This window comes from Homo sapiens, chromosome 2, assembly GCF_000001405.40.
Source record: "Homo sapiens chromosome 2, GRCh38.p14 Primary Assembly".
Taxonomy (NCBI): Eukaryota; Metazoa; Chordata; class Mammalia; order Primates; family Hominidae; genus Homo; species Homo sapiens.
The window spans coordinates 241,116,306-241,128,894 of NC_000002.12; the positions used below are offsets into that span (position 1 = coordinate 241,116,306).

The window sequence follows — 12,589 nt, forward strand, 5'->3', positions numbered from 1 at the left end:
AGCACAGAAGGGGGTCAGCAGCTGACCAGAAATGCAGCGTCATTACTGCCCATTCTGTAAGGTGGACAGATGGGTGAGATGGAGAATCCAGGTGGAGCTGAGGGAGCCATAACCTGGGCTGGAGAGAGGGCCCCAGAGGCCTCAGGGCATGTGCCCCGGAGAACATCCACGTCACCCCGACTTCTCAACCAAGGACTGGAAAGCCCTGGCCAAGAGAATAAACGAAGAAGCCAGAAAACTAGAAAATACAAAGAAAAGCTATCACTCTTAGACATGTTTTCAACATTGACTCTGAGATTAATCAGACTTTAGCAAGACTGACAGACATAAGGTAAATATAAGAAAAACAGTGCTACCACAGTCAATGATAGTCAAAGTGTAACAGAAAAAGATACCATTCACAAAAGAAAGAACACTGCAAGTCGCTGAAAATCTGGTCGCCCAACACAACGCCTGCTGCTACGTGGGTGTCGGCACGCAGCTGAAGGAGCGATGGGCAACCCAGCGGGTGCCAACCACAGGATGGGCCTGTTCAGGTGTCAGGAAGAGATGCTGAGTGAGATCACGCACCAAGGAACGATGAGTGCCAAGAAGGAAAAAAAGATGGGGCAGGAAGTGCCGCGGGGGTGCAGCCCCTGCGAGGTGCATGGGATAGGGAGTGAGTCCCGGGAAGGCAGCTTCTGAGCGCCTCGGGGAAGGCCCTCCAGGCAGAGGGCAGCGGGAGCACAGGACTGTGGCAGAGCGCACCTGAGCTGTGAGGAGGTGTGAGGGAGGCGGGGGGCTGGGCAGGCAACGTAAGTGGGCATCGGGAGGGCATCGGGGCCAGGGCGGGAGCAGGAAGAATCATCGGAGCCTGGGCAACATCCAGGCCTCTCACCGTCATCAGGAGAGAAGGGGGCAACTTGGGTGCCAGCCTGTGAGAGGTGAAAGGAGACAAATTCTGAAGACCCTTTGACGGGAGGGTCACTATGGCCCAAAAGGCCAGAAGTGAGACTGAGGGAAAGCAAGAAGACGAGGGGAAGCAGGCTGTGGTCCTGAGGAGCAAAAGAAGGGCCTGCTGAGATGTGGCAGAGCTCCAGAAGCCTCCGGGAGGGCGGGAGCCCTGACACTCTAGGTGAAGAGGCCTGCGGCCTGTCCAGCTGCAGGGCCAAGGAGACAAGAGGGCAGGCTCCTCCAGGGGGGCCCATGCACACCTAAAATGAGTGTCAGGAGGAGGGAGAAGGAAAGAATTAACGGAACCAAAGAACGGAAGCTTTAAATATTCAGATCAAAGTCTTACCAAGTATCAAGCAAGAATAAAGAAAACACACACAAACATAAACCCCTAAAGACATCCTGGTGAAAACTTTGAAAGACAAAGATTTTACATCTAGAAAGAAAAATAAATCACGTTTTGCTGTCAGCAAAATTCACTTCAAAATAATGCTAGATTACAACAGATACAGGTCTAAAAAGTTCTGAGAGGAGAAAGGCATATCATCACTAAAATATGAGAGAAAAATAAACACACTTTAATACATACAAGGACTGAATGTATAGTACCCATGAATCCTTCCTGGAAAAACTGGCAACGAATATATTCTAGCAAATGAAAAATAAACCTGGAAAAAAGAAGAAACTGGACATAAAAATAATGGAGACTTAACAAAAGAACAACAAGACTTGTACACTGAAATTACAAAACACTACCGAAAGAAATTAAAGATCTAAATGAATAGAAAACTTTCCACGTTCACAGATCAGGAGACTAAATATTGTTAAGATGACAATACTCTCCAAAGTGAGCTACAGATTCAATGTGATTCCTATGAGAATCTCAGCTGGCTTTTTTGCAAAACTGACAAGCTCATCCTAAAATCCTTAAGAAAGTGAAAAATGGCCAAAACAATCTCAAAATAGCCAAAACAAGCTTGGAAAAAAAAAAAACACAAAGTTGAAGGACTAGCATTTTCCAGTTTCATAACTTACTACAGAGCTACAGTAATCAAGACAGTGTGGTACTGGCTTAAGGACACACTTAAGATAGAAAGACAGACTATAGATCAATGGAATAGAATTCAGAGTCCAGAAACAAATCCATGCATCTATGGTCAACTGATTTTTGACAAGGGTGCCAAAAACCACTCAATGGGGAGAGGACAGTCTTCAACAAGCAGTGCTAGTACAACTAGATATCCACATACGAAAGGGTGAAGTCCAACCCCAGTCTCACACCACACACAAAAATTAACTTCAAAAATAGATCAAAGACTTACATGTAAAATCTAAAACCATAAGACTCTTAGAGAAAACATGGGAGTAAATCTTTATGACCTTGGGCTTGGCAGAGTCTTCCTAGATATAACACCAAAACACAAGTGACAAACGGTAAAAGAGACCAACTAAACGTCATCCATTTAAAATGTTTCTGCTTCCCAGTCTTCAGGAGCCCCCAGTGCAAAGCCCAGGGGCTGGCAGGGGCCCACGGCGCAGGGCAGACAGCCTGGCCAAGGAACAGGCCAGCGTGTACACCAAGCTGTGTGGTGTACACACCCCGCACCCGGTGGAGGCCATGATGGGGCACTTCCCGCAGCTCCTGGACCCGCAGCAGCTGGCTGCCGAGATCTTCTCATACAAGTCCCAGCACCCCAGTGAGTAAGCTGCCCGTGGCTGGCAAGGGCAGCACCCCCAGCCTCCAAGGGCTGTCAGGCTGGGCCTTGCGCCATCGAGCAGCCCGTTCCCAGCCCTGAGGCCCACCCCAGAGGCTGGACAGAGGGAGGATTCAAGTCGGGAGGGAAGCCCACAAACCAAAGATACCATAGGACTGGTTCTGGCCCATGCAGCACCTCTAGGTGTCTGCCTGAGTGGGTCAGAAGCGATCACCCTGTTGATACACATTGTATCTCTGTAGTTTAAGGAGACGCTGCCAGTAACGGCGTCCGTCCATGGCTGAGGCCCAAACTGTCTTTTCTTTCGGAGGGTGGGGAGGGAGGTGGGGACAGCAGAGGCCTGGGCTGCGTGCCCTGTGCACGCCACCCCACTTCCGCCCTACCCCTGGGACGTTGGCCTTGGCTGGCTAGTTGGGCATCATGTGCCCACCCTCCAAGGGCCTCCTCTACACCAATGAGGCCTCATCCATGCTCTCGCTGGGCATGTGGCTTCATGTCAGTAAGCAAGATGCTTCTTTTTTTTTTTTTTTTTGGAGACAAGAGTCTTGCTCTGTCGCCCAGGCTGGAGTGCAGTGGCGCAATCTCGGCTCACTGCAAGCTCCGCCTCCCGGGTTCATGCCATTCTCCTGCCTCAGCCTCCTGAGTAGCTGGAACTACAGGTGCCCGCCACCACGCCCGGCTAATTTTTTTGTATTTTTAGTAGAGACAGGGTTTCACCGTGTTAGCCAGGATGGTCTCGATCTCCTGACCTCGTGATCCACCTGCCTTGGCCTCCCAAAGTGCTGGGATTACAGGCATGAGCCACCGCGCCCGGCCTGCAAGATGCTTCTTAATAACCCACCTTCTGCCCCACTCTGTTCCTTATCCTGCTGCCCCTGTAGGAGTCAAGGGCCCTCTGTCTACACCCTCTCCTCCTCCTCCATCCTCTATTCAGAGTCATCTTGTCCTTCCCCACGGGTGGGGGAACATGTGTATGTTTGTGTACACATGTAAATTTTAAATATTTTAAGCAGAAAGTCCTTACCTCCTATAAACCATCCATAAAGTACAATCAATGTGAGAAAATAAATAATAAAATTAATAAAATAAAATAAAATGTGCTTCAAATGAAACATCAAGAAAGTGAAAAGACAACACATTTAATGGAGAAAATATTTGCAAATCATATATCTGATCAAGAAATTGTATCTAAAATACAGAACTCATACAATTTAATAATAAAAAGACAACCCAATTTAAAAGTAGGCAAAGGGGCAGGGCCAGGCACAGTGGCTCACACCTGTAATCCTAGCACTTTGGGAGGCTAAGGCGGGTAGATAACCTGAGGTCAGGAGTTCGAGACCAGCCTGGCCAACATGGTGCAACCCCATCTCTACTAAAAATACAAAAATCAGCTGGGCCTGGTGGTGTGCACCTGTGATCCCAGCTACTCAGGAGGCTAAGGCAGGAGAATCGCTTGAACCTGGGAGGTGGAGGTTGCAGTGAGCCAAGATTGTGCCACTGCACTCCAGCCTGGGCGACAAAGCAAGACTCTGTCTCAAAAGAAAAAAAAAATGGGCAAAGGATCAGAACAGACATTTCTCCAAAGAAGATTTACAAACAGCCAATAAGATCATGAAAAGACACTTGACATCATTAGTCATCAGGGAAATGCAAATCATAACCACAGTGAGCTACCCCTTCACACCCCCTAGAATGGCTAGAAATGAAAAGACAATAATAAGTGTTGACAAGGATATGTAGACCAGGAACCCTTGTACACTGCTGATGGGAATGTAAAAACAGTATAACCTTTTTAGAAAACTGTTCAGCAGTTCCTCAAAACATTAGACACAGAGTTACGACATGACCCATGAAGTGCACTACTAGGTATATGCCTAGAACTGAAAACATATGTTCACACAAATCTTATATACAATTGTTCATAGAAGCATTATTCCTAATGGCCAAAAAATGGAAACAACACAAATGTCCATCAGCTGATAAACGGATAAACAAAATATGGTGTCTGTTCATATAATGGAATATTACTCGGTCATAAAAAAGAATGAAGTACTTATACATGCTGCAATATGGATGAACCTTGAAAACATTATGTTAGATGAAAGAATCCAGTGACAAAAGAGCATGCTGTGCATGATTCCATTTATATGAAGTGTCCAGAATAGGCAAATCTATTGAGACAGAAAGTAGATTTGTGGTTGCCCAGGATGGGATGGAGGAAATTCGAGCAGGACGGGGGTTATGCGACTGACTACTGATGGGTATGAGGTTTCTTTCTGAGGTCATGAAATGTTCTTCGTTTGTGGTGATGGTTGCACAATTCTGTATATACTAAAATCTACTGAACTGTTCACTCTAAATGGGTGAATTATATGGTATGTGAACTATATCTCAATACCGATGCCAAAAATCATGATGAAATATTAAAAACTAACAAGAAACAAAAACATGACATAATAAAATATAGTCAACAGAAAGTAGGAAAAATAGAGGGGAAAATAACAAAGCACAGAAATATCCAGAAACAATAGAAAACATCTAGATTTAGATTATAGATTTAAATCCAGCCATATCAGTAATTTCATTAAACATCAACGGTATAAACACCTCAATTAGAGACTTTCAGACTGAATTTCAAAAGCAAGATCCAAGTGTATGCTGCCTACAGAAGACCATTTTAAATATAGACATAAATGACTAAAAGTAAAAGAATGAGAAAAGTTTACTATGTGAACACAAATCAAATGAAAGCTGGAGTAGTCATACTAATATCAAAGTAGACTTCAGAACAAGGCATATCAAATTAGGAATTAGTTCATCAAGAAGATGCTATGATACTAAATGGGTATTCCTATAACAACAGAGCTTCCAAATATATGAAGTAAAATCTGGGAGGATTACAAAGGGAAACAAGCAAATCCACAAGTATAGGTAGAGACTTCAAAACATAATACAAGCATCAACAAATTTAAAGAAACTGACATTATACAAAGTATGTTCTCTATAAAGAAATTAAAAACAAAAAGATATCTGAACAATCACCAAATAATTGGCAATTAAACAACACACTTCTAAATAACACAAAGTAACAACGTATTTGTAAATGAATGAATGTGAAAGCACAACATATGAAAATATGTGATACACAGATAAAGCTGGGGTTGGAGAAAAATTAAAACATTAAATGATTATATTAGAAAAAAGCATAGCTCAAATAAATGATCTAAGATACCACCTTAGGAAAATAGAAGAAGAAAATAAAATTAAATCCAAAGTAAGAAAAAATAATGAAAAAAATTTTTTATAATAAGAGAAAAGTCACAAGATTGAAAATAGATTATAAATAAGAAAAATTAATGAAACCCAAAGCAGGTTATTTGAAAAGATTAAGCATGTTTTCAGCATGCATGTGCAGTGCCCGTGAGATATGAGCATCTCAGTGGGGAGTAGGAGAATGGTGCAAGCCCCAGGCTCAGAAAGGAGGGAACACAGGTCCAGATGTGGGATCTCAACACAATGGCAGGAGGCGAAGCCCTGAGCCTGGCCTGTTCGAGGTCTGAATCTACAATTGGACGGGATCAGCAACCCTGGATGTCAACGTGTGTGCTGCTGGGAGAGCCTCTTTGAATCCGGAAACCGCCCACATGCCAGGTTGTGTGCTTGGTGCCATACCTAGAGGACTCCTCCAAAAACCCCAGGTTTGAGAACTGGGACCAAAAGTCGAGAGCCATGTGAAGTGGTGCCCGGCGCCACTCCCCCCCCACAGCCAGGTTACCTCCTTGTTTTTTTCCTTGTCCACAGCAGTCCACACGAAGCCGAAGGCCCCACTGCCCAGCGGGCTCATGGTACTGTACTTTTGGGAGTACTCGCCCTCACAGGCCGCCAACCCCTCCAGTTCCACAGCCTTGGGGGGCTCCTCAAACCAGGGTCTGGCTCTGAGCACCTGCAATGCAGAAGAAGGTCTGTGGGGTCACATGCAACTGCACCGGGCAGAGGTGCAGCACCCACAGTGGTCCCCCTGCGTCTTCAGCAGCCGCCCGAGGCAGGTGTGCCCTGCACTCCAGTCCCCTCTCCTCCCATGCTCTCAGACAGGTCTGAAAGCCTATCTCCACAGGGCACCCCAAGCAGCCTCAGCACACTGATCCCAACTGGCACACATGTCGAAACGTGTTTACACCCCACCATATACATGGGCCTAGGCAGATTTAAAGTGGCTTCTTTTTTTTTTTTTTTTTTTTAGACGGAGTCTGGCTCTGTCGCCCAGGCTGGAGTGCAGTGGCGCAATCTCGGCTCACTGCAAGCTCCGCCTCCCAGGTTCACGCCATTCTCCTGCCTCAGCCTCCCGAGTAGCTGGGACTACAGGCGCCCACCACTATGCCCGGCTAAATTTTTGTATTTTTTTTAGTAGAGATGGGGTTTCACTGTGTTAGCCAGGATGGTCTTGATCTCCTGACCTCGTGATCCACCCGCCTTGGCCTCCCAAAGTGCTGGGATTACAGGCTTGAGCCACCATGCCCGACCTAAAGTGGCTTCATAGTCACACTGGATATTAAAAGACAGTGTGAAAAGTTACAAAGAGGGCCAGGCGCAATGGCTCACGCCTATAATCCCAGCACTTTGGGAGGCTGAGGCAGGTGGATCGCCTGAGGTCAGGAGGTTCAATACCAGCCTTGCCAACATGGAGAAACCCAGTCTCTACTAAAAATACAAAATTAGCCAGGCGTGGTGGCGCGTGCCTGTAATCCCCACTACTCGGGAGGCTGAGGCGGGCGAATCACTTGAACCCGGGAAGCAGAGGTTGCAGTGAGCTGAGAAAGCACCATTGCACTCCAGCCTGGGGAACAAGAGCAAGACTCCGTCCCAGAAAAAAAAAAAAAAAGCTACAAACAGACTGTATTCCCGTCCCCAAGGAAACAGAGAGAGATGCCAACTAGGATATTTGCCACACAGTACAAGGCAAGTCCAGGGCAGGCATTGATTGCAAATACCCACTTCCACCAGGCTGGGTCCGGTGAGCTCAGCAGCGGTAGAGTGGGTGGAGCCGGGCAGGCTGGCAAGGAACAGGCGGGTCCTGGCGGCTGAGTCGCGTTGGCTGTGGAGGAGGTCTTTCACCAGCCAGCAGCAGAACAGAGGTGTGGGGCCCTGGAGCTCCACCCGCCTCACCTCAAACTGTATACCTGAAGGGTGAGAAGGTAAGAACGCACAGGCCTGTGCTGACCTGGCTAGACAGCAGCTTTAGGTTAGAAAAGTCCAGTCCCCAGAATGCAACAGTCCAATCCCCAGCAGCTTTAAGTTAGAAAGTTCAATCCCCAGAACACAGACCAGAGAGCAGCCCAGGCAGAGGCAGGCAGCACCAAGGCCTGGAGGAAAGCTGTCAGGGCCGGCCAGGGAAAGACCCCTGGGGCATAGCCTGCAGGCCTGCAACAACCACACCTCCTCACTCAGGGCAGCCAGAGGCCAAGGAAGCCCTCCAGAGAGGCCTGTAGCGGAGGGTGCAGACAACCCCCAACTCAGAATAGCCGGGAGAACCTGCACTCAACGTGCCCTACACACGGTGGGTCTTCGGCCTTCCAGTGACAAGAATGTGAATGGCTTACATTAAAAGCATGTACACATGTACCTACTCTACTCACTAACAGCCATATTCAATTCCATACCCACTTACATAGAGAAAGCATGTGTGCATTTTCCACAGCCTCCTAGCTATACACCAACATAAGTGTGGTTAGCTTTCTTTGGTGGTGGGGGTTTACAGCCCATTTTATTTTCTTCTTGTTTATATTTCTAATGTTTCTACAAATAACACGTATTATTTACAAAATTCTTTTAAGTGTAAGAAAAAAACCCTAGCTATCAACACTACAAAATCAGCAATATGGAAACAACTGGCTAAAATAATGTGGACCTATTAAGAAATGAGGAAAATACAGCCAGGCATGGTGGCTCATGCCTGTAATCTCAGCACTTTGGGAGGCCGAGGCGGGCGGATCACGAGGTCAGGAGATCGAGACCATCCTGGCTAACACGGTGAAACCCCATCTCTACTAAAAATACAAAAAATTAGCCTGGCTCAGTGGCTCACGCCTGTAATCCCAGCACTTTGGGAGGCCGAGGCAGGTGGATCACAAGGTCAGGAGTTCGAGACCAGCCTGGCCATCATAGTGAAACACTGTCTCTACTAAAAAAACAAAAAAATTAGCTGGGTGTGGTGGCACACGCCTGTAGTCCCAGCTACTCAGGAGGCTGGGGCAGGAGAATCATTTGAACCCAGGAGGCGGAGGTTGCAGTAAGCCGAGACCATGCCATTGCACTCCAGCTAGGGTGGACAGAGTAAGACTCTGTCTCAAAAAATAAAAAAAATAGGCCGGGCACGGTGGCTCACACCTGTAATCCCAGCATTTTGGGAAGCCGAGGCGGGCGGATCACGACGTCAGGAGAACGAGACCATCCTGGCTAACACAGTGAAATCCCGTCTCTACTAAAAATAGAAAAAATTAGCCGGGCGTGCTGGTGGGTGCCTGTAGTCCCAGCTACTAGGGAGGCTGAGGCAGGAGAATGGCATGAACCCGGGAGGCGGAGCTTGCAGTAAGCTGAGATCGCGCTACTGCACTCCAGCCTGGGCAACAGAGAGAGACTCTGTCTCAAAAAAAAAGAAAAAAAAAAAAAAAAGAAATGAAAATAAAAAAGAAAGTAAAACAGAATCAATCTCAAAGGGGCAAGCAGAGGGGCCCGATCACATGACCCTCACAGAAGGGCAGGTTTTTCAGAGATCAGGGCAGCCTAAACACCAAAAGCACGGAAGAAGAACACGTGAGCATCTCACCACGCTCACATCCCTCTCGGCCTGTCTGTGTGACCACTGAGGTGGGGGCTGGTGGGAGGTGGAGAGACAGACTCTAGCGTGACACCCCCACGCTTCTCCTGCTCCCGACGGGATCTCCCCAGGCTGCTGGGAGGAGCGGCTCTCTAAGTGTATGGCCTGAGTCAGGGGGCACAGCTGGAACTGACGGGCATGGGGCAGGTGGCCTGGGACCTTGGGCGCCACCCTCCCCAGGCACACACATTCGTAATCTTAATTTTCTAGGGGTGGATGATATGCATTCTCCTTGAAAACATGATTTCTGCTAACACTATTCCAGGGTGAAACCCCATCAGACCCCAGAACAAGGAAGGCCCTGCACCCCCACTGCACTGTGCTCTGGGAGCACCACACTTCTTCCTATGGGGCCCGGGACATACTCAGCCGTAAGCCATCTCGATGGTAGCAGCTCCCGGAGTAGGCACCCTCCTGGATCTCCCGCTGCAGGCCAGCAGCCCCGCGCATCACGATCACGGGCGTGGAGGTGACCTGGACGTTCAGCCTTGGCTCCTCTGCTGATGGGCACGTGTCCTCAGGGCCAGCATCCAACGTGGAAGGAACGTGTCCTGGGCTTTCTCTGTCGCTTGCTGCATAATGCTCAGAGGACACCAAACAAACCTCAAGCGGTTCTGTTGGATCATGTCCCACACAGCTCTCCCGGAACCGTCGGCCTTGGCCAAGGTCAACACAGGTGCCGGTCAGTAGTAACAGCTCCCTGTCATCCAGGACACACGACCCCTGTTCCTGGAGACTGCCTACATCTGGATCGGAGCCCACTGCCAAGGAAGAGGGTGTCTCTCTGAGTTCAGACGTAGCACAGGAACAATTTGATGACGTTTGGTCTGTCTGGTCACTGAAAAAGAGTTCCTTGAGGTTCCAGGAAAACGAATTCACATCAACCTCCTGGGCCTCCACTGCTTCCAGGCCCCCAGGGAGGTCCGTGGCCAAGGCATAGCAGGCTGAGGAGCTGCCCGTGCAGCCACCGCACAGGTCTCTGCCTCCCAGATCGCAGGACGACACAGGAGCGGTGACAGCCTGGCACTCTGTCGGAACGAGTTCGGCGTGGGGGACATCCAGGGCTCCTGCAAGGCTCAACTGGGACAGCTGCTCCTTAATCAAGCAGGTCTGCAGCTCTTCTCGGTCGTTTTCCACTCCCAGCCACGGCTCATCTAGAGTAGGTGTCCCAAACGAGAGGCCTGCCATCCCAGAGGGGCTGGGGGCCAAGTCCTGGCTTCGCCACCACAAGCCCCATTCACTCCCATAGCAAGGGCAGTGCATCAGGAGGCTGCCCCCCGCCAGCTGACCCTTGGCCTGGGGCTTGGCCACGGCAGCCCCAGCCCAAAGGTCTGAACCGCTGGGACCACTGACTCCCATCCGCTCTAGCTGGGCCTTCTGACACAGGCCACACATGCCAGCATCACTGCCCCCATCCTCAGCTGGGACTGGAGCTTCAGAATCTTCGCAGGAAGCAAATGGCTTCACATCCACTGGTTCAGACCTGCTTTCTCCCAGAAGATCCTGTCCGGGGCTCTCTATTGCCACAGGTTCCTCTCTCCCCAAGGCAGTGATTTGCTGGTCCTTGGGCAGCGCCTGTTCACCGTGCACTGGCAGGCTTCCTTCTGGGACATTGTCCACCCTGGGGATAATGACATGGGTGACCATCATGTAGGGCCACAGATGAGTCAAAAGGAGAGATTGCACCGATTCTCCATTAGAACTAAGTACAAAGCATTTAATGCCACCAATTTATAACAAGAAAAAGACCAAATTTTGTGACCAAGTTAAAAAATAAAGCACTTAGTCTCAAATTTCTCCAAATTAAGTCCACATTTAGAAATGATTTTGCAGAGAATGCTACCAAAAGCCCAACAGTAAAGTACAGGAGAACTTGCCAATGCTTTGGTCAGCGCTCTCGCTTCATCTCAGGGCCCCCAAACCCCCCGTCAGCCGTGCAGCCTAGCCTCGGCCCCACCTGCAAGGGGAAGTCCGTGCTGCTGCCTTGAGGAGGTGTGAGAGGAAACGAGAGAGAGATTGGAGAGTCCCTGGTAAACTCCACAACAGTAAAAAAACAACTGATTGACTACAAACACCATCCGATTTCACAGCCGACTAGGGAAATGGCTCTCAGATTTGGGAAATGGCTCTCAGATGGGGCCCACACAGAAGGGGCCAGGGGCCAGGGGGCCGGGCGTGGTGGCTCACGCCTGTAATCCCAGCACTTTGGGAGGCCGAGGTGGGCAGATCACTTGAGGTCAGGAGGTTCGAGACCAGACTGGCCAACATGGCAAAGTCCTGTCTCTACTAAAAATACAAAAATTAGCCCGGTGAGGTGGCAGGCACCTATAATCCCAGCTACTTGGAGGCTGAGGCAGGAGAATGGTTTGAGCCTGGGAGGCAGAGGTTGCAGTGAGCTGAGATTGTACCAGCTCACTGGTGAGATGGGTGACAGAGTGAGACTCCGTCTCAAACACAAACAAAAAAAGAAGGGGACACGGGCCGAAAAAGAGAGAGGAGGCTGGTGAGGGCGGCTCCTAAGAGGTGGCACACAATGTCCTCCAGCATTCAGCACATGGTGACCCATGAGGAGGCTGCCACAGTCCAGACAGGATGATCACAGAGCCAAGGGACCCAGGCCTCCTGTCAGCCCAGCCACTGGCCTCCACATGACAGACTGACACTGGGCACCAGATGCACAGAATGTGACCGCACCACCTCACTCGGGGACAGACACACAGGTTAACATCAGCAACCTAATAAAGGTATACCAGAGGCTCAGAAAGAGGACAGGATCGGGCACAGTGGCCCACACCTGTAATCCCAGCACTGTGGGAGGCTGAGCCCAGGAGTTCGAGACCAGCCTGGGCAACATAGTGAGACCTCGTCTCTACAAAACATTTAAAAATTAGCCAGCGTGGTGACACACACCTGTAGTCTCAGCTACTTGGGAGGCTGAAGCGGGAACCTCGCTTGAGCACAGGAGTCTAGGCTGCAGTGAGCTGTGATCGCACCACTGCACTCCAGCCTGGGCAATGGCCAAGACCATCTCAAAAAAAAAAAGACGGAAGAGGAAGGATACAAC

At 49.2% G+C, this 12,589-nt stretch overlaps 1 protein-coding gene across 8 annotated transcripts in view, besides 5 other annotated features; it reads right to left on the reverse strand.

Annotated features, from left to right (window-relative positions):
• Nucleotides 1–12,589, reverse strand: part of PASK (PAS domain containing serine/threonine kinase) — a 44,249-nt gene that overhangs the window by 10,207 nt on the left and 21,453 nt on the right. For all 8 annotated transcript variants that reach the window (NM_001252120.2, NM_001252122.2, NM_015148.4 and 5 more), the window contains 3 exons: nt 9,891–11,146; nt 7,644–7,828; nt 6,427–6,594 (listed from right to left, as the gene is read on the reverse strand). In NM_001252120.2, the coding sequence (NP_001239049.1) occupies nt 6,427–6,594; nt 7,644–7,828; nt 9,891–11,146 (1,609 nt within the window). The remainder of the gene's footprint in view (nt 1–6,426; nt 6,595–7,643; nt 7,829–9,890; nt 11,147–12,589) is intronic.
• Nucleotides 9,371–9,540: an enhancer, noted in NCBI's record as "experimental_57723 CRE fragment used in MPRA reporter constructs". NCBI's record gives its function as "activates a minimal promoter by MPRAs in K562 erythroleukemia cells, with activity observed for both the introgressed and non-introgressed 2:242065176 variant alleles {active_cell/tissue: K562}" and the evidence as "EXISTENCE:reporter gene assay evidence [ECO:0000049][PMID:34662402]".
• Nucleotides 10,351–10,520: an enhancer, noted in NCBI's record as "experimental_57727 CRE fragment used in MPRA reporter constructs". NCBI's record gives its function as "activates a minimal promoter by MPRAs in K562 erythroleukemia cells, with activity observed for both the introgressed and non-introgressed 2:242066156 variant alleles {active_cell/tissue: K562}" and the evidence as "EXISTENCE:reporter gene assay evidence [ECO:0000049][PMID:34662402]".
• Nucleotides 10,984–11,153: an enhancer, noted in NCBI's record as "experimental_57732 CRE fragment used in MPRA reporter constructs". NCBI's record gives its function as "activates a minimal promoter by MPRAs in K562 erythroleukemia cells, with activity observed for both the introgressed and non-introgressed 2:242066789 variant alleles {active_cell/tissue: K562}" and the evidence as "EXISTENCE:reporter gene assay evidence [ECO:0000049][PMID:34662402]".
• Nucleotides 11,367–11,676: an enhancer, noted in NCBI's record as "active region_17416". NCBI's record gives its function as "activates an Ori minimal core promoter by ATAC-STARR-seq in GM12878 lymphoblastoid cells {active_cell/tissue: GM12878}" and the evidence as "EXISTENCE:reporter gene assay evidence [ECO:0000049][PMID:35858748]".
• Nucleotides 11,817–11,866: a silencer, noted in NCBI's record as "silent region_12527". NCBI's record gives its function as "represses an Ori minimal core promoter by ATAC-STARR-seq in GM12878 lymphoblastoid cells {active_cell/tissue: GM12878}" and the evidence as "EXISTENCE:reporter gene assay evidence [ECO:0000049][PMID:35858748]".